Source organism: Homo sapiens, chromosome 12, assembly GCF_000001405.40.
Source record: "Homo sapiens chromosome 12, GRCh38.p14 Primary Assembly".
In the NCBI taxonomy this organism is placed as follows: Eukaryota; Metazoa; Chordata; class Mammalia; order Primates; family Hominidae; genus Homo; species Homo sapiens.
In genome coordinates this window covers 69,987,350-70,009,340 of record NC_000012.12, presented here as the reverse complement: position 1 = coordinate 70,009,340, position 21,991 = coordinate 69,987,350, and the positions used below count along the sequence as shown (strand labels likewise).

The 21,991-nt window shown below is 41.6% G+C and overlaps 1 annotated feature.

Annotated features, from left to right (window-relative positions):
* Nucleotides 446-646: a silencer, noted in NCBI's record as "peak1793 fragment used in MPRA reporter construct". NCBI's record gives its function as "represses an SCP1 promoter by STARR-seq MPRAs in K562 erythroleukemia cells {active_cell/tissue: K562}" and the evidence as "EXISTENCE:reporter gene assay evidence [ECO:0000049][PMID:32103011]".

Sequence of the window (21,991 nt, the reverse complement as noted above, 5' to 3'; positions counted from 1 at the left end):
CTGATGTTTTTATCATTATAAAATGACCTTCTTTTTCTTTTTTTGTGGCTTTTAACTTAAAGTTAGTCTTATCTGATGTAAGTATAACTACTTCTACTCACTTTTGGTTTCTGTTTGCATGGAATATCTTTTTCCATCCCTTTATTTTTAGCCTATAAGTCTTTTAAGGTGACATGAGTTTCTTGTAGGCAGCATATAGTTGGGCCATGTTTTCTATCCATTCAACAAGTCTATATCTTTTAATTGGAAAGCCTAATTTGTTGATATTCAAGATTATTATTGATATGTGAGGACTTATTCCTGTCATTTTATTAATTGATTTCTAGGTTTTTTTGTATAGCCTTTGTTTATTTTCTTCTCTCTCATTGTTTATCATTGTTTTTCTTAGTTGGTAACATTTAAGTCCTTTCTCTTCTTATTTGTATGTGTGTTCTACTCAGTGGGCTTTATATTTTCGTGTGTTTTCATGATGACATGTATCATCCTTTCACTTCAAAATGCAGGACTCTGATAAGAATTCTTTGTTGAGCTAGTCTAGTGGTGATAAATTCCCTCAGCTTTTGCTTGTCTGGGAAAGCCTTTATCTCTCCTTCATTTGTGAAAAATAACTTTGTTGAGTATGGTATTCTTGCCTGACCGTTTTTCTTCTTTCAGCACTTTGAATATCTTTTCCCATTCTCTTTTGGCTTATAAGGTTTCTGCTGAGAAATCTGTTGCTAGTCTGATGGAGATTCTCTTGTATTTCTCTTGCTATTTTTATTTTTTATTTTTTGAGACAGAGTCTCACTCTTTCACCCGGGCTGAAGTACAGCCGCATGATCTTGGCTCACTACAACCTTAACCTCCCAGGTTCAAGCAATTCTCCTGCCTCAGCCTTCCAAGTAGCTGGGATTACAGGCATGTGCCACTGTGCCTGGTTAATTTTTATATTTTTAGTAGAGACAGGGTTTCACCATGTTGGCCAGGCTGGTCTTGAACTCCTGACCTCAAGTGATCCACCCAGCTTGGCCTCCCAAACTGTGGGATTACAGGTGTGAGCAACCATGCCTGGCCTCTTGCTATTCTTAGAATACCCTGTCTTTGACTTTTGACAGTTTGATTATTGTGTACTGTCTATGTCCATTGGTGTATTGCTACAAAGGAATACCTGAGGCTTAGTAATTTATAAAGAAAAGATGTTTATTTGGCTCACAGTTCTGCAGGCTGAACCAAAAACATGGTTCCAGCACCTGCTTCTGATGATGGTTTCAGACAACTTCCACTAAAGTTGGCATGTGCAGAGAACAGTTGATGAGAGAAGAAGCAGGAAAAAGAGGCGGGGAGGTGACAGACTTTTAAACAATCAGCTCTCATAGGAAATAATAAAATGAGAACTCAATTTTTATCATGAGGATGGCACCAAGCCATTTATGAGGAATCCAGCCTTATGACTCAAACACCTCCCAAAGGCTTACCTCCAACATTAGGGATCAAATTTCAACATAAAATTTGGAGGAGTCAAACAAACAAAACTACAGCAGATGCCACAGAGAAGACCTTCTCGAATTGTGTGTATTTAGGAACCTTTGCACTTCCAGTATCTGGATGTCTAAACCTCTTGCAAGAGTGGGGAAGTTTTCAGCTATTATTTTGTTAAATAGTTTTTCTATTCCATTCACTTTCCCCTTGCCTTCCTGGACACTGAATATTTGAATATTTGGTTGCTTTATGGTGTTCCATATGTCACACAGGCTTTCTTCATGCTTTTTTATTCCTTTTAAAATTTTTTGTCTAATGGGTTATTTCAAAAGACCTATCTTCAAGTTCTAAATTGTTTCTTCTGCTTCATCTAGTCTATTATTGAAGCTTTTAGATTTTTTTTATTTCATTCAATGAATTTTTGAGTTTCAGGATTTCTGTTTAGTTCTTTTTATGATACCTATCTCTTTGATAAATTTCTCATTCATATTCTGAACTGTTTCTTTGATTTACTTGTATTGTTTAGTGTGTTCTTTGGTATCTCACTGAGCTTCTTTAATATTATTATTTTGAATTCTTTTTCTGGGAATTCATAAACTTCTTTTTCATTGAATTATTTTACTGGAAAATTATTGTGTTCCTTTGGAGTGTCATATTTCCTTGCTTTGTCATGTTTCTTGTGTCTTTACATTGATATCTGCATGTCTAGTTTGACAGTTCCTTCTTCCAATTTTTTGGATTTGTTTTCATGAAGGAGGACTTATTCCTGAAGATGTTTCTATGGTGTTGGTGGAATAGGGCACTTTTGCTTTTATTCTGGGTGTGCATGATAGTGTAGTATCCATATGATTTCTTCAGTAGATAGTATTGATAATGCCTGTGGCTTTTCTCAATGGATTGGGATGCAGTTGTTAGTGAAGACTGTAGTGAAGTTTTGCTGGGGATAGGGATGCCAGGTAGGCCAGTCCTCAGGCCCCAGTGGCAGACAGTGACCGGCCAAATGCTCATCCTTGGGCCCCAGGGTGGTATATGTTGGAACCTGTGTTATCATGTCCAGATGGCCTGATTCTTTGGCCTCCAGGTGGCTTTCTTGCGTGCCAGCAGTGTCAGCAGTAAGCAGGAGGGTGGGTGTGCCCTTGGGTTTTGGGGCAGTGGGTGTGGCATGGGTGATGGCAATAGCAGTGGTAGGACAACTTCTGGCTCCTAAATGGTTCACACTGGTGTTGATGGTGGCTGTGACAAGTTGACTGGGCCAGTCCCCAGGCCCACAGATGGTGTGAGCAGTTGGGTTCCAGCTGTGATGGTAGCAGCAGGTTGAGTGGGCCATCCTCAGACTTCTGGGAGAAGGGCTTAAGTGCCTATGGTGGTGGATGGGGTAGGGCAATCCTCAGGCCCTTGGATGGCATGCTTGGGCCTGCTAGGGCACACAGAACCAGGCCAGGCAAACCTGTCTTCAGGGCCTCCATGGTGCTTGTGGGTGTTTCCTGTGGGAGGCAGGGCAGGATAATCCCCTGACCCCCAGTGTAATGCTCAGATGGGAGTAGCAGCAGCTGTGCTGTGGTTCTCCTGCTCGGGAGGGCAGGATTGGTTTCAGTAGCAGCAGCCACAGGCAGACAGCTGGGGAGTGTGCACCTCATCCCCAGGTGGTGGCTGCCAAGAAGGGAGCCTGTTTTGGGGGTACTTGTAAATGAATGGTGGCCTCACTGCTGGGGGTAGCAGGATTGCTTGCCAGTCGTTCATGTTTCTGCCCCAGCAGCAACAGCCAGCAGTCACATTGGCTGCAGGTGGAGGAGTCTGTCCTAAAGGCACATGAAAATGCACAGCCTCTCATTGCTGGGAGCAGCAGGGTTGCTACTAATGGTTCCTGCTTCAGCCCTGGCAGCAGCTAGCAGTGGCAGCAGCTCCAGGAAGAGATTGTCAATGGGGCTCCAGGGATGATGCAGAGGCTATTGGGCCCAAGGGCAGTATGCAGTCTGGTGGGGACTAGGGTCCCAAAATTGTGCCATTCTGTAGCTTCATAGGACTCATGGGGTGTGTGAGACCCACCGTGATCTCCCTCTCTGAAGCAATGCAGTCACACAGACTCTGGGAAGTTCCCTATATTCATCTCAGGGCCCACAAGGGTTGAGGGCCTCTCCTGTGGCTAGGATTGTAGGAGCAGTGGAAAGGTGGACTTCTCGGGGGCAGGGGGGTGTCTCTCACTACCCTTTATCCACATGAGGGGACCTCTCTAGGCTCCCAGCCAATTCTAGCCTAGCAGGCTGCCTCACTTACCTCTCCCTCCTTGCCTTAAGGGTTTCCTGTAAACTTCTTGTTGGATTCCAGTGTTCTGTCTTAGGTGATCTATTTGAAGTGTCAAGAGATTCATATTTTAACCAAGTCTTTGGGGCAAGCAATCTCTTACTGCAAAGAAGATCACCAATATGTGGGAAATTTAATCACAGTATGCCCCCCCTCCCCCAGCCATTGTGGTCAGAATTAATCACCTGGGCTTTGCACCTGCCACACTAGGTCATCCTTTTGTCCAGTCAGGTAGGTGTCTGTGTCTGTCTTGTCTCCAGCATGTGAGCTCCCTGAGGGCAGCACTTATCCTGGAGCTTACAGTAGTGGAGCTCAAGGGAAGTCAGCTTGAACTCACTCACCCAAAAAATCTTTACCAAATTCCAATTACAAGCAAGACACGGCTAATTCTGGGGGCACAAAGGGAATCTTAAACCAGCCAGTTCAGTGTGTGTACAATGGTTCTGCTTCCTGCTTTTGAAGGGTTTACATCTAATGGGAGAGAAGAGGGGGGTCTAGGCATAAATAAGCCCACAGCAAAGCAGACACGTGTAAATAACAATGCTTCCCACATTATAGCAATAGGTCAGCTGAGTAAAATGTATGGACAGGTTCCAGGTCCCTGGTATTAGAAGGAGAACCACCTTATATTTCAATAGAAAGGCTTGAGGATTTTTTCCTCTTAGTTTTCTGTTTATTAGGAAACTAATACATATTAGGAAATATTTTGAATGGTATAGATAACAATATGCTTATTCACACCACCTGAATCCAGTGATAGTTAAACATTTTGGCATGGCACATTTACTTTATTTCTGTTCTTTTTTTTTTTTTCTTTTTTGAGACAGTCTGGCTCTATCACCCAGGCTGGGGTGCAGTGGCATGATCTCGGCTCACTGCAACCTCCACATCCTAGATTCAAGCGATTCTTCTGCCTCAGCCTCCCGAGTACCTGGGATTACAGGTGCATGCCACCATTCCTGGTTAATTTTTGTATTTTTTAGAAGAGGTGGGGTTTTGCCATGTTTGCCAGGCTGGTCTCGAACTCCTGGCCTCAAGTGATCTACCTGCCTTAGCCTCCCAAAGTGCTGGGATTACAGGTGTGAGCCACTGCACCTGGCCTTTTCTGTTCTTAATAAGGAGATAAAGATTACAGAAAAAGTTGTAGGCCCTTTGATGTCTCTCCTTAATTCTATTCCCCTCCCTCTTTCCCAGAGATCACGACTATCCTAAAGTTGCTTTGTCTCCTTCCCATGTATAAATACTTTTGCTTTATTTATGTGTTCCAGTAAATATATATAGTATTTGTGTGTTTTTAGAATTTATATAAGTGCATTCATATTGTGGGTAATTTGTTTGCACAATTCTTTTTTTAGCCAACATTTTAAAGGCTGTATGGTATTTATTTGTTTGACAAATCTCAATTTACTCTGAGATTTAGGTATAAATGTAATCTCTTGGGACTCCATCTGAGGGAGGACTCTTCCTTGAGGCCCTCCTAATGTTCAGATCTGTCTAAGGCCCCTCTTTAGTAGTCAGTAGCACTTCCTTGGCAGTTATTTATCACATTAAAATATCTTTCAAGAACCATGATGAGGCGTCTGATTATTACAAAGCATCATGCCCCATGAACTGTCTATGTTTCAAGGAAAGATACTGGGAATTATTTCTATTTGACAGCCAGTGCCTAGCCAAGTGCCTGGCATATAGAGGGAGTTTCAAAAATATTTAATGCATTAATCTAAACTCCTTTTATAGAAAAAAATGTCCATATGTGCTGATGTGTGTCTCTGTGCCTTTACCTAAAAGTCAGGGTCTGTGGGCTCCGGTAGCCATCCCGCTCACACTTTCTTCTAGAATTCTAATAAGCTCATCTATTTTCTTGCCTATAATACGAACAAACAATTAGAACAAAAAAGGAAGGAATGTAATCTGCTTCTAGAGGACAACACTTATGGTAGCAATAAGAGAAAGCCTAGCAGAGATGACAGAAAGAAAATTAGAAAAAGCAAAGGAATCTGAAGATATTTACTGTAATTGATGTATAAGTACAATGCTGATTCGCCAAAAGAAGATTAGATTGTAAGCCATATAATCTGGTTGAAAAGTCAGTAAAATACATAATGTTTTTAAGTGTAAAAAGAAAAAGGTTATGGGACATTTAAATTTGTTTTGGGGGCATGTCATCCCTGTCCAAAGTTTAACAGATGAGGAACCGCTATATGTGTTTTTCATTGATTATTGGTTTTACTCAACATTTTGCTTAAATAGTCCCTGCTTTAAATTTTAAAGCAGATGAATGAGAACATTTTGTATTTGTCCCTTCCTAAAAGATCCCACCAAAAATAAAATGAATTACTTTCCTGGCCCTCAACCAAATTTTTGTCAGAAATAAAATATGACTTTCCTTGGGCACCTTCATGACCTCCCTGAGAAGTGAAGAGTGAAGAGCTGGGCCTCTTCCTGCCTCCTGCTGCCTCCTCCTGCCTCCTCCTCCCTCCTCCTCTCTCCTCTGCCACAGAGCCACTTGGCGACACACGCTGCACAGGCTGCGAGGCAGAGGTAAGGTAGAACGCAGGGCCCTAGACCCCTTGGCCCTCTTCCCACACCGCTTGCTCCCACCTGCCCACCTTCTGAAGGATGACGTTGTGGGCACAGGCAGTCTTTTCCTCCTTCACCAGAAATTAGCACTGGGAAGTCACTGGGGCAGCAGATGTGGAAGACCAATGCATGACCTAGAGCAATTTATACAAACAGCTTCCCAGAGGCTCTTGATGAGAGCCTTTGACTAGTTTCCAGGGCAGCACACCATGAATCCTTGGCCAGGCTTAACTTTTCAGAGCTCAGAAACAGCTGTCCTGGCCACCCAGTTCCTAATTCCTTTGGCTGGGATCCTGAAGCAGAACTCACTGCCTCTGCCGTCCAAGTCTTCCAGCCCCTCAAGGATCAGGGGCTGCTGCCTTGCAGCCACCTCTGCTCTCTCATTCACTATCTCTCCCCTTAGTACTCAAAGTCCCATTAAGGAAACTGGAGAGGTGACAAGCTTATTGGGCTCTTCCTGGTTTCTCAGTGCGTGGCCCTACTCTGAAGAACTCACCTTTATCCTTCCTGGCAAATCCACACCCTCTCCTTTGCCAGGGCCCCCATGCTCAGTGGCTGAGGGAGCTGCTCAGGCCTTGAGAACAGACTGTGTCAAGGAAGACCCTGATAAGAAAAGAGAACAGGAAAACCTAACATGGAGACAGGGAGACACCCTACCCAAGCAGCTCTTTAGAATTAGAAGCACAGTTGCGGCCTGTTGGTTAACTTCTCTGAATGTTTTTGAGAACTAAGAACTGTGTGACTAGATACTTATGTCCTAATCCTTGCCTGTTAATAACTGCTTTTTATATAAACAACTGAGACTATTTAAGGACACTACAAGTCTCTACACAGTTTTAGAAACCTAGCACATTTAATTTAATTGTTTGTATTGCTTAACTCAGTGACTAAAGATGTTCAGAGGTTAGGCTAGATCTTTGAAAAATGTGTTCATTAGAGGTCCACTGTCTGCTTACCTGGAAAAAGAAAAGGCAGGATGGCAGGTATAAGATATAAGGAGAGAGAAGAAATGGGCAGAAATGACATATGATGTTTCTGACACTAAAATTTGAATTGGCAAAGAATGCCCAATGCCTAGTAGTTTGCTACTTTCCTACACTTCTCTCCTGTCTAGTGCTGTCACATGAAAGCCTCTTCAAAATGCAATCAGTCATTAGGCAGGTGTAGTATCAGTGCTGTGTAGTTGGGTCATGGGCCTAATATACAGGCCTTTCTTGGGAATCCTGGATTACCAAAACTGGCCACCAAGAGTCTTATACATATCATGGCACCCAGGCTCACCTGAAAAACAAAATGGTGAAGGGGACAATCGAGTTGCTCTCATGGCCCTGGTGATGCTGAAATTCCCAATAAACAGAAGAGACCAAGGCTGCCCCAATTTCCAAGGACAGAGAGTTATGCAGGAGGGCAGGGACTTCCCTGAGAGAGGCCTCAGCTTGAGATACTCATAGACTCTCTGTAAGAGGAGTGCTTGTAAGTGTGACTCCCTAGGGTAGCTGTAAAGGTGAAAATCACAGTTTGCCAGAGGACATCATGGTCACCAGCAGGAGAAGGCTTGACTGCAGTAGGAAGGAATGAAGACAATGGATTAAAAACCAAAGAGAGAGACTGACATGGGGCTCTGCTTCCTGGTGAGGCTCTGGAACTACTCATGGCTGCCAGTTCTACAGCTGGGCTTCCCAGTTATGTAGCCCATTTTGGTTAAGCTGAATTGAGTTGGTTTTCTGTCATATAAAACCGGGAAGAACTGACAGACTCAGCAGTTATTTGACATTATGTGTTTCCTCAGCACTTATGTGAGCAGATCCACAGAAAGGAGAGCTCATGACTCAAAAAGTCTGGAGACCAGTAATCTAGAGTCTAGGGAAACAGAATAAAAGGACTGTGAGATTGAAAACCATTATTGCCATTATATAACTTGTGTTATAAATAACAGTAAGTTGGTTATAACTACTATAACCAAGATGTTCTTCTGAATTTCTTTATATATTAATTCACTTAATCCTTCCCCAAAACTAGTAAGGTAGGTGCCAATATTATTGTTCCCATTTTGCAGATGAGGAAAACCAAGGCATAGAGGGACTGAGTAAATTGCCTAATACTACACAGCTAGAAAATGGAAGACCTGGAGTTCAAACTCAAGGTAGTCTGGATCCCCAACCTTAACCACTACACACACTGTCACTCTCTAAACAGAAAAGAATGTGCTGGTCATGACTGGCGTGTCAGAAAGTCTGTTTGCAAGAACCATTATAAATGATGTGTTTCCTTCAATCTATTGTTTTAGTCTTTCAATGACTGATTCCCTTGGAGAAGCTAGCCACGTAAGAAAATGAAAGGTCAATAAGCAAAAGCCTACTGAGTTAGGTTTCATTTGTCTGTGTTTTAAGGTAGAGAACACAGAACATTTGTCTGTGTTTTAAGGCAGTTTCACTCATTCACTTAGAAGATTTTAAGAACAGAGCTTGTGAAACTTGTCCCCCAAAAAACTCACAAACAGAACCTAGACTTGGGTCCACATTTTGGCCAGTTAATATGGACAGAATCATGAAGAAGGAAAAAGAAGGTAACATGAGAGGAGAAAAGGACCAAGACAGACTTGAAGCTACAAAAAAACAGGACAGCAAAGAAGAGAAGGGCAGACATTAAATAATTGAAAAAGACAGAAATTCACAATTTCAGATAAGATACACTGACAAAAAGAGAAAAGCATCCAGAGAAGGAGAGAGGAGTGGGCCATAATAAAACAAAATAAGAACAGAAATAGATAGAAATGGATTTTCAGTTCCTTGAGGACAGAATGTCCATTTTTGTTTGCTGCTGTTTTCCCCAGAGCAAGCACAGTGCCTGACATAGACAGTCAAGAAATAGCTGTTGGGTGAATAAATGAAAAAGAGAAAAAGAAACACATGAAAGACAACTGATAGGAAAGAAATCTGTGTAGCCATTAAATATATAGACTATGGAATCAGGCAGACCTGGGTTCAGATCTTGGCTTTGTATCTTCAGATCCATGTGATATTGGGTAATGTACTCACTACTTTCACTGGTTTTGTATATTAGTTTCTTCATATGTAAAAATAAGGATATGTTCTAGCTATTGAGTTAGTTTTCTCTTGTCTCCAAAACACCTTTTTATACTCTGCTTTATGATGCCAGGGCTGAAACTATATAGACCACACTTTGGCTTTGCCAGTGTCTGCCTAGCCCTGCTAAGAGAGGGCACTAGAGGGAGACTGGAAGGGCTAAGAAGGACGAAGGGACTTGTTTCTCCTCATCTGCTTCCTGTTCCTGAGAGCATCATTTCTGAAAAGCTTCTTCATCGCAGCAGCAGCAGTAGCAGTTCTTTTCTACAGCAGCAACAGAGTCCAATTTGCAGTTTTTCCAACACCTGCAGTGCCAGCTTCACTGTGCCCCCTCAGAGACACCAGCGGTGCACCACGAAGCTGTGCTCTGCAGGTGCCAGCTCTGGAGCTACACCTGCAGCTGCACCTTTGGAGCTGAGGTTCAGCTTTGGAGCGCCCCTCCTCCACATCTCTAAGTGTTAACAATTCCAGCTTCTTCTTTTTGCTCCCCTAGGCCTACAGATGGAAGCTGCTTCCTGCAGTTGCTACCTCTTTGATAACTTAGCGTCCTCTTTTTACCCCTTTATGACCTAGTCATCAACTTTATACCTAGATAATAATTCTTCTATTCAATTTTCTCTGTTTAAATAATTAAAATGGCTTCTGTCTCCTGACTGGACCCAGACTGAAAGTGGGTAATAACACCGACTTCACAGGGTTGTGAAGATAGATGTGTAAAGTGCTTAGAATATTGTCTGGCTGTAGTAAGAAGACAATAAATCTTAGCTGTATAATATGTGGACACACTGAAGAACAGTAATTTAGACAGTAATAAAGTAATTTAGACAGTAAGAAGACAATAAATCTTAGCTGTATAATATGTGGACACACTGAAGAACAGTAATTTAGACAGTAATACTAGAGGTGGCATAGATGGGTTTTCAAAGAGCAATACCTTGACATTTTGACCTGTGAAGACTTTGGCAGGTGTGCTCTGCCTTCCCAGCTGTAGGCGCATATCAAGTATCCAAGTCAGATACTGCATGTCATTGAATTGAGGACACCATTGATTGTCATATACACCATTAATTTTGTGTATCACCAAGAAAACAAAAAATCACTGCCGTTAAAGTATGGCAGGTTGTAGAGTGTGAGGCTCATCCTGATACTGCAGATGTTAAATGTGAAAAAAAATGTATCTTACAGGTGATGTAATACAATATTTACATTGAACCATGGTGAATATAAGATAACCCCCTGATGAACCTATAGGCCTATAGGCATTCTTTATCCCTCACTGTATAGTATCAACATCACTAATGTGGACACACACACACACACACATACAGACACACACACATACATACACTAGGAAAGGTAAAGAAGAAAAGGATTTCTTGGCCCTGTGTGGACTGTTATTCAAGGGTCATCAAGGAAGCCAATAACTGGAAATTTGTCTCAACAAAATAAGTCTTTCATTTAGTTCAGTTTGCCTGTTTTAACCAAGTGCTTACCCTCCTCACCCAGCAAATTCTTCCAGCTTTCTGAGCAAAATAACCTAGCATACAAACCAGAGGCAAACCAGAAGTTTGCTTCTACTCCAATTGAGAAAGAATGGGAACTCATAGTGGAATGTTTCCTTGCTTGTTAGGGTGACCGGTGGTCTAACTTAAAATTATACTGTGTTCAGAACAATGTGGGCTTTTATGCGTCATGCTTAAGCTTCAATCCAAATATGCTTCTGGAGTATAGTTACACCAGAAAAACAAGGAATGTAAAAATAACGCCTCATGAGTCAATGTGTTTTCTGCCTAAAATAGTTTTTTTTTTTTTTTTTTGAGATGGAGTTGCGTTCTGTCGCCCAGGCTGGAGTGCAGGGGCGCGATCTCGGCTCACTGCACTCCGCCTCCCGGGTTCAAGCGATTCTCCCACCTCAGCCTCCCGACCAAAACAGATTCTTAATATGGCTGGCCCTGCACAGCCCAGATCACCTTGGGAAAATAGCCTGAAATTGACTTTACATCATGCAGATTCAAGACTATCTGGCTCTGTATTAAGTCATGGACAAAAAAAAAAAAAAAAAAAAAATGGCCAATTGATGGGGCAGAGGGAAAGGGGGAAGGAGGAAGAGAGAGGAATGAGTGTAAGACTGGCAATTTATTTGAAGAAGGAAGAAAAGAAGATAAAATGAACACTCTTCAGAAGGTTTTCAATGACCAGAGTTAATTTTCTTTAATTTTCACACACTGATCAAATCAAGGGAACTGTAATCAGTCTCTTTTTCCCCATTCCCTCCTCTGGCTTGATCTGAACATGGAAAATCAGTCAGCCTTCTTCTTTATTATTTTTTATTTTATTTTATTTTATTTTTTGAGACGGAGTCTCCCTCTGTTGCCCAGGCTGGAGTGCAGTGATGTGATCTCAGCTCACTGCAACCTTCGCCTCCCAGATCCAAGCGATTCTCTTGCCTCAGCCTCCTGAGTAGCTGACACTACAGGTATGAGCCACCGTGCCCGGCCAGTCCATTCTTTTCTAAGCTCTGTGCACCAGGCTGGCAACACTTGTTTAAAAACCCATTCTATACTTCTCTGTTTTAACTTTTAACCCTCTCCCTGGGACATGTGAAGAGGAAAAGTGAGCCCCAACACATAAGAATGAAGAGGAGAAGAATGTGGGCTGCATTTCCCATGGGACACTGGAAATGCTGGCTTCATGGAGACAAGATTCTTTTTCAGAATCCCTACACAAATTGCTGGAAAGAACTTCCAAGGAGGCATGGTAAGGGAGTTACACTAATCATGAAGGGGTTTTATCCTGTTTATTACACACTTATAAGTAGCATTGTGCTAGGCATTGGAGACACAAAGTCAGATAAGAGAATTCTAGCCTCTAGGAGCTCACAGTCTAGTCACTGTATGATCAACCCAATAATTCCCCAAAGCAAAGCCCCCAGAGTTGAAAGGTCAGGGCCCATGGGAAGCACAGAGGAGAGAGTGAGGTAAGAAGCAATTGCCCCAGGACCTTTGCACTTGCTCCCTGGCTGGATGCTCTCCCTTGAGATTGCCTCACGGCTCACTCTGTTGGCCATGTTCAGAAAAAGACCAGCATCAGAGAGACAAGAGTAAGATGAATAAATTTGTAGGGTCTGTGGCATTCTCCAATAAAAAACTGCGTGTACCAGATCTTTTATCATACCACTCAGACTTCTTTGTTCATAGCACTGTCTCTCCCCACACGTGTGTCAGCTTTCCTCTATGTTAAATCTGTCATAAGTTGCTGTTGAGAATATGTTGTTTCTGAATAACGTGTATTCTGAGATATGCACCTCACAGAACTTTAAGTCACACCCCCCTCCTTGGTGACTCAATAACCAATTATAGTGCCCCCACATAGTACAGACATTTCTAAGAGAACTCCAGGGAGAAATGCAATGGTGACGTGATCAGCAGAGGTCAGGAGATGTGCTGGAGCTGGCTGGCAGGGCTCACAAGAATCAATGGTCAAAGTCACAGAATTTTTCAAGCCAGTTGATGTCATGTTGTTGGTAAGCTTAAAATTTAGCCATGGTGGAAGTATTCAAACCATGGAAATCAGCCAACACTACACATCAGAGCTTCTTTGCCTTCCATAAAGCCAGTTATTAACCATTAATTTGCACCCCCTTGTCCAGGCTAATCCTTCTGGGTTTCAGGGAACAGCTTCACCAGATTCTTTCTTTAGCAAAAACCAGACAAAGTATATGGAAGGAGACAGAGGACAGCACTGTCTCTGATCCATAGCAAGGAAAAGTTGCCTCCTGCTTGCCCACGCTGAACAACTTCCTAGAGCAGGGGTCAGCACATTTCCTGTAAAGAGTCAGATAGTCAATATTTTTGGCTTTGCAGACCATCTGATCACTGCCACTACTATTCAACTCTGCCTCTGTAGCACAAAAACAACCATAGTCAATACATAAACGATAGGTGTGGCTGCATTTCAATACAATATTATCTATGAACATTGAAATTTGAATTTATGTCATTTGCATATGTCCCAAGATATTATTCTCCTTTTGATCTTCTTTCAACCATTTATCAATGTAAAAACCAGTCTTAGCTCATAGTCTATACAAAATCAGGCATCGGGGTGGATTTGACCCACGGGTTGTAGTTTGCCAAACATTGCCTTGAAGTATAGTATATTAAGTAATGTCAAAGAAGGGAAATTGATCTTTGTGTCTCAACTAATTATAATAACAACTCTCGGCCGGGCGCAGTGGCTCACGCCTGTAATCCCAGCACTTTGGGAGGCCGAGGCAGGTGGATCACGAGGTCAGGAGATCGAGACCATCCTGGCTAACACGGTGAAACCCTATCTCTACTAAAAATACAAAAAATTAGCCGGGCGTAGTGGCGGGCGCCTGTAGTCCCAGCTACTCGGGAGGCTGAGGCAGGTGAATGGCGTGAACCCGGGAGGCGGAGCTTGCAGTGAGCCGAGATCACACCATTGCAGTCCAGCCTGGGCGACAGAGCGAGACGCCTCTCAAAAAAAAAAAAAAAAAAAAAAAAAACAGCTCTCATTACTGAGTAGTTTATACAAGTACTCTACTAAGAGCTTTATATATATATTAGCTCATTGAATCCTTAAAATGGTCTTAAGATAAATTCTAATATTGGGGCTTAGAGAAGAAAAATAACATGGCCAAGTTCACTTCGTTAGAACATGGCAGAGCTGGCTGGGCTTTGGGCTCATTTTTGTCTAATTTGAAAGTTTGTACTCTTAGCTAATGCCACCCTAGTCTGAAATCCTGGACCTTGTTTGCAGAAAATCATCTCGTGCATTCACCGCAATCTCCTTGTTTATCCTCCTTCACAGTGCTTACAGCCAGCCTCTCTTCCCCCGCTACTTTCTCTACGGGGTGAGGCAGCCAGGATCTCCTGATTTACAGGCCCTGGAAGCCATCCAGCAGACTTACCATAGAAGAAAGATAAGCTGGGCAAAGTCACATTTGTAACTTTATCTTTTTTAAAAAAAATAATTTCATAAAATACGGAAATGGGTTGAGTAGCACTTGCAATTTATTTCCAAAAATCAGGCTAAAAAGAGACACCTGTGTCACATGAGGAGAGATGCCATCTCTAGACTGGACTTTGTCCTTGACTGACACAAGGGCAAGCCTGAGCTCATAAACGGCTTCTCCATCTCCATGAGCTGTCAGCACAAAGGTAGGAACTCTGCTTCTCAACTTTTTTTTTTTTAAAGGACAGAAATGTAATTCTTGAGAGGACAAGTGACTCTTAGCAGGAAAAAGTTTTATTTGGATTTGTATGTATGTGTGTGTGTTTCTGTATTCATGGAACTAACACACAGAATATTCTGAAATGAAAGGAAACATAAATTATAAGAATGAATTATTCTTAGGAGATCAAGTGCCGTAATTTCCCAAATTATCTTATGACTACCTTAGTGAAAAAAATTGATGAAGCAGGCTGGGCGTGGTGGTTCACACCTGTAATTCCAGCACTTTGGGAGGCTGAGGCAGACAGATCACTTAAAGTGACAGATCACTTGAGTTCAAGACCAGCCTGGCCAATATGGTGAAACCCTGTCTCTGCTAAAAATACAAAAATTAGCCGGGCGTGGTGCCGCATGCCTATAATTCCAGCTTCTCAGAAGGCTGAGGCAGGAGAATAACTTGAACTCAGGAGGCAGAGGTTGCAGTGAGCTAAGATATTGCGCCACTGCACTCCAGCCTAGGCGACAGACTGAGACTCCATCTCAAAGAAACAAAAAATGATGAAGCAAATACAAAATGTTAATATTATTAGATATGTGAGATGATTTGTTACCAACAAAATTTTTAAACGTCTAAAACAAATAGCATGATTGAACAAAAGATAGATTTTTTTTAAAGGACATAAATGATTTGTTTAACTAGAATTCCAAGGTAAATCAGAGGGATGGTAACCTGGATGCAATTCAGTGGTGTCTTGACAATGATTTTCCAATTTAGATAAGTCCTGACCACAGATGATCCTTCACTTGGGCATTAATTTTACTGAGCTTTAAAATAGGCTCAGTTTATCCTTACCAGTTAAACTCACAAATCCAGGCACACATTTAAAGGAAAGTTTAGTTCAACCTTAAAGACCAGGAAAACATTTCATTGTTTTATGGAGAAAGCTGATTTGTTCCCTCCAAGTGGGAAGCCAGCTCTTTAAATGATAAAGTGCCATGCGGGCTTAACCTTGAAAGAGGTCAAGCTACTGGTGATGAAGCCCAGGCTTCAGAGGAAGAACCAGATGTCAGAATGGGAATGAAAGACTAATGTTATCTAGTGCTGGTGAAGGGTTGGGGAAACTGGCACATGTGTGCCCCTTTTGTGGGAGTGTAAATTGGTACAACCTTCCTGGAGGAAAATTTAGCAACATGTAGAAGAGCCTTTTTTTAAAAAGTCTTTGACTTAGAAATCCCACTCCTAGGAATTTACCTGAAGCAAACAGTTGGATAAATGTGCTAAGATGAACAAACAAGATGTTAATTGTCACACAGTTTAGAACACTGATAAATCTGAAATGACTTGAACATTTAGCAATAGGAATTTGGTTAAATAATTATGCATATCTACACAGTGAAAACCATGAAGCCGTTAACTAGGATAATAGGGATCTATACTTATAGATATGAAAAGAGAGATGCTTCTATTTTGCTAAGTGGGAAAAAAAACTGTGTATCCTTTGATTCTATTTATTAAGGGTTGGGGAGGAGTGTGGGGGAAAGAGAGAAAGAGACAGTGTGTTGTGTGTGTCCTTTACCAAAGACTTCTCAGAGGTTGAAATATGCTGGCCATTTCCATTTTTTGAGGCTTTTAGCATATATATATATATGAGAAATGACAAAAGAGGGTTATAAAATGTTTAGTCTATTAGTTTATTATAGCTATTTACATTTAAGAAATTAATGCTTTTTATCATCAATAAACATTCTATATAACTAATAGGATTTATGGGTACATTTTTATTTGCAGTGTACTATAGACTGTGTGGTGCTCTAGTAGACCACCAGTTTAAAGTGGTTTGATGACATTCTTCCCCTACCAACCTAATCAGAGTAGTTTTTTTTTTTTTTTCGAGACGGAGTCTCTCTTTGTCTCCCGGACTGGAGTGCAATGGTGCAATCTCAGCTCACTGCAACCTCTGCCCCCCGGGTTTAAGTGATTCTCCTGTCTCAGGCTCCTAAGTAGCTGGGATTACAGGTGCACACCACTATGCCAGCTAATTTTTGTAGCTTTAGTAGAGATGGGGTTTCACCATGTTGGCCAGGCTGGTCTCAAACTCCTGACATTGTGATCGGCCCACCTTGGCCGCCCAAAGTGCTGGGATTACAGGCGTGAGCCACGGCACCCGACCTCATTCAGAGCATTTCTGTGCCTGGTTGTATACTCCTTTAGATATAATACCAAAAATCAAAATTTTAGCCCCTTTGGGAATGTGTGCCTGGCCTCATGTGGTCCTCCTGACACTCTTGTAATGGGCTCAACCTTTGTCCCAAGCTGGAGTCATTGAGCACAATGGCATACTCCATTCCATCCAGCCCTCACGCTTCCCTCATTCCTGCTTTCTCAGACTATACCCTTATTCTCTGGTGTCACAGCTCCCAAAACATATCTGGATGCTCCTCAGGGCATTGCAACCCAGAAGCTTTTACACTGGAGAGTCCAGCCTCTATCACCCCCATGTGAGAAGTTGCCTGTTGCAGTACAGTAAGGGCCGGCCCAACGCCATGCCATGGTGGTATTGCTTCTCTGTGGCAGCTTATTGTATGCACAGCCGAAGTTCTGGAAACAGTGACTTGAGAGCCACGGCATGACAACAGTGTCAATAATGAGGAACCACAGCGCTAGGGGTAGTCAATAAACAGAACATGACTGCTGCCTGTGTCCAGGAAACTCCAGGCACAGACAGGCCACAGCTGCACTAATGTGGCATGAAGCTCCAAACTAACAGCAGAAGTCATGTCAACATTTCTATGTGACTGGGAGACCAGAGCCTTTCCCAGATGCCACATTTGGATTCTTGGATTCTTTAGCAGGCTATGCTTCAGCAATCACAGCAAGGCAGGGACAGATCACTCACAGAGATTCCAGGAGTAGTACCAGCTGAGCCAGCCTAATGACACCGCTTGTTTTGCCAAATTTCCCTGTAAGCTGCACAGGAGCAGACACTGGGAACTCAGAGTTCTCAAGCAACTGCTATGGGGAAAGAAAAACAAGGGTCACCATCACAGAAGAAGAAACAAATTTATGATATTCTAAAGCACCTCTGTAAACTATGTGATCTAAAGGCAGCATCAGGGAGTGGCCACAACAGGCAGACAAGTCTAGCAAGTGGGACCACAAACAGGGCAGATGCTCCGGAGAATATGTTTACTTTTGAACCTTCTGTTCAGTGACATCATTGGTCCATGCAAGGCCCCTCCCTTATTTACTTATAAATTAATCTATTACACAAATTAATTTCCATTTATTTCCATCACCACCTCCATTCTCCTTTCACCACAGGGAATCATTTAAATGTGTTTAGTGTGGCTCTTTTTTATTTGTATATGTTTTTGCAAAACATAAGATGTAATGATTTATGTGCATGGATTTTTAACTTACATAAATGGTTATGTTAAACATCTTGTTCTGTTTTCTACTTATTCCACTAAGCATTAGTGTGGCTCTATGTTGCTATGTTCCATATTGTTGGATGTATAACTAACCCATTGTTCCTAATCGCTGCTTAATACCCAATTGTGTGCCCCACAATATTTACCCATCTGCTTTTCCAGTGATGGAAGACACCCACAAATATTGAAATTAACATTTTTATATATGTCCTTTTATGCACTTGGGTGAGAATATCCATGGGATACATACCCAGGAGGGATATAGTTGGAACACTGGATGTATGCTTACTTAATTTGACTAAATTCTACAAGATTGCTTACCAAAATGGCTGCAACAGTCTGTACCTCCATGAGCACTATGCAAAGATTCCTGTTTCCACATCCCCAGGGCAGAAACCATTTACACAAGGTAGGTCACAATAGGGAACCCTCTCCTTTTAGACTATGGACCTTTTGTGTCTGGTTCCAAGGCTCACTGCCCGAGCTCACAGCACCTGAGGAAACCCTAGGAGTTGGTGCTGAGAATGCCCTATGCCAGGGCTCTTTAGAAGAAGGATGAATCGATGTGCTTCATGGCTAGTCAGTTATTCAACAAATATTTATGGGTGCCGATTAAGTGCAAAGCTCTGTGTTAACAGAGAAAAATCTCCTATGATCTGTGCCTTCTTTGTATTTAGAAATTAGTGGGGAATAATGACATTAATTCAAAATCTTACAAATAAATAACCAAAAGCATGCAATGGTGTATGAGCAAGAATTTCAGGATGACATGGGGAAACTTACTTAAGAATGAGAGTACCATGAGGCCAGGGCATTTTGTCTGCTTTGTTTAATACTGTACTCTAGCTTCTAGAAGAGTACCTGACACATAGTAGGACCTCTTAAAATATCTTCTAATTGAATGACTAAAAGAATAGAAGGTCAGTGTTCAAGGAAGGGGACCCCAAGGCATGATGTTTGAACCAGGACCTGGAAAATGAGCAAGGACTAGTCAGGACAAGATGGTGGTGGTGGTCTCAGAAGCACTCTTGGGTAAGGAGTTGGGGATGGGTATATAATGACAGCAATAGCTAAACCCATCTGTGGAAATACTCTCAAATGCCACCCAAGCACATGTGCCCCAGAATGCCGACCCCTTTTCTCGACAAAGCTGTTGGGACCAAGTTCAGTCCTGAGAAGCAGGATCATAGACAAGAAACTCTGCAGCCGCAGTGCAGAAGACAATGTTTCTATATAATCAATGGGCAATTTTTTTTCAAAACTGGGGAAAAAAGAACAAGTTTGAATTTACGAGGACCTGAATTTGAGTCCTCCTATTTTATCTCTTAGCCGCTAAGCAAATCTGTGTAAGTTATTTAACTTCCTTTAGTTTCCTCATAGTAAAAAAAAAAAAAAAAAAAAAAAAAGGGATGATAATACCAACTGTATAGGGGTTTTGAGAAAATTAAATAAGATAGATTATATTATAGATAAGGTATATTACACAATAATATAAAATATATTCTAATGATAATTGCTAACTATTACTGAACATTTATTTGCTAAGCACTTTCCTTGAATTCTCTATTTTATCTCTAATACCTCATAGGGTTGCTGTGGGCACATGAGCACTTAGAACAGTGCCTAGCACAAAAAGTGCTCAAAAAGTGTTAGATATGATCCCACAAGTGTCTGCATTTTACAGATGAGGAAACTGGGGCTTAGAGAAGTTAGCTAACTTGCCCAAATTCACATGCCTAATAAGTGGCAGAAACAGGAGCAAACACAAACTCAGCCTCCACCTTCTATGGCCAGAGTAGTGCAGGCACACAGCAGCCCTCAAAGTATGTCAGCCTCTCCTCCCATACATGACTCTTCCCACCAACATCCCATCCCTTCCACCTTCCTCCCTTGAGGAGTAGTCAGCAATGAGAAACTCCATAAAGGCCTTCAAGTGTGGATAGAATTGTTAGTGAGAGAAGAAGTCATCTAAGTGTTCCTCTGTACACACACATACACACACACACACACGAGGAGACAGCGAGAAGGAGAAAGAGCCCATAGACTTTTCTGTCAGATATGGAGGGCGGGTCGTAATTATTGTAACTGATCCTAAACAGACACAACAGAATACATCCAGGTTACTACTGAGCACTCTGAACCTTGTGACAAATAGAGGATTTCATAAGCTTTGTCCAAGTTTGAGGTAATTTAAATGAAAAGATACTTGAGTCACTCCTCACTTTCCCTTGAAGAAACAGGAAAACTCCACTATGGTGTCTGACAGTTGCTACCTATTTAATCTGAAATTGGACAGAATCTAGGTTGCTGAATTATGGGTAGTCACTGGAATGTTATTTTAAACAAAATAAACCCCGGGAATAAAGAAGCTCAAGAATTCTGGGGAGAGGATAAATCACTTGAAATATACATACGGGAGCTTGAAACATTTTTTTTTTCTTCTTCTCTCTTTGTGCAATTTATTTCCCACGGAAGATTTCATTCAGATAGAGTAATCTGCTTCCTGAGAGAGTCCAGGAAGTTTCTTGAGGATCTGGTCGAAGGTAGAGTGATTAAGTAACTCAGCCCAGATGAAGAGCCAAAAGTTTTCTATCTGCTTTTCCCAGGCTTCCCTCCCTGTCTCTCCCCTCCCCGCAGCTCTCTGAATTTTTAACCCTAGGATTCTCTTGTAGCACATGGATTTTCAGGGAGTATACTAACCAGAAATGGAAAGGATTTATTTTACCAGAGAGTCTAAATATCTTGGGCTTTCAGCCAGGCACAGAAAGTCTGACTGTGGAAACATGCAGACCCAGGGACAAAAAAGAAATCCTCAGACACAATATGGAGTGATTCCTGACCAGATTTACGGAGATGTCATCCGTGCTATCAGAAAAGGACTATAGGTTTGAATCTCTAAAGAAGACTCATGCTAAAGAGAAGTTGCCAAGGACATACACACGGAATGAAAGAAAAGAAAATGGAGGAAAATAATGGAGATGATTTAGATTGAGCATAGTTTATATTAATGAGACACTAGAAAGCGCTGAGAGAATTGCATGGGGAGTTATGAAAATAAATCTAAAATAAGATAAAATAAATATGAAAGACAGTACAGAATCTAAGGAATTTGCATTTTATTATGAATAAAGGTATATTTCCAGCTAGCGACCATTTTATAGAACAACTTATAAAATGAATCATTTCCATCTCTGCTTGGGACACTCCCTTTTCTCCTGAATTGCAGCTCCACCAACAATGAAAGGTGTGTGTGAATGTGTGTGTGTGTGTGTGTGTGCTGACTTACTATCTAGATAAGTGTGTGCTACGTGTCATACTGATTTTCTGGTAATTCAACACTAATTCCTGGCAAAGCATCCTGGGAAATTCCAGACCTATGAATGCCTCTCTGGAAGGTCACAATCAAGATCTGTTGAAATCCAACTGTATTTCAAACACTTCCTGGATTCTTTATAAAATCAAGAAACAGCTTCTCCATTGCTTTTCCTAATCTTTGAGCAAGTACGTTTCATTAAAGTGCTAGTACTTTAAGAATTTGACCTAATCTGCAAAATACTTCAGTAGGAAATGTGGCAAGTGCCACTGCTACAATTCTCCAGAGGTTAAAAAGAATGCACTCAATCAATTAGTGGTGAAAGTGAACATAAATCCTGAATTTCATGACCCATAGTTTAGTGAGGAGTCCATCACATGTCATCATTTACTTGCCTCTGGAAATCAGAAATAAACTGATTTTGCTTCAGTTAACTTTGCAAAATGTTTACTTTGCTTAACTTTCAAAACTGTTTTCTTTAACAAAAATGACAGGGCACTATACTTGCATTTTTTTTTTCACACAGCACCAAATTATTCCGGCAATTCAGCAAAGGAAAAAGAGATAATCTAATTCAGCTGGCATTACATAAGTAAAAACAAGCTAAATTTCAGTTAGCTTCAAT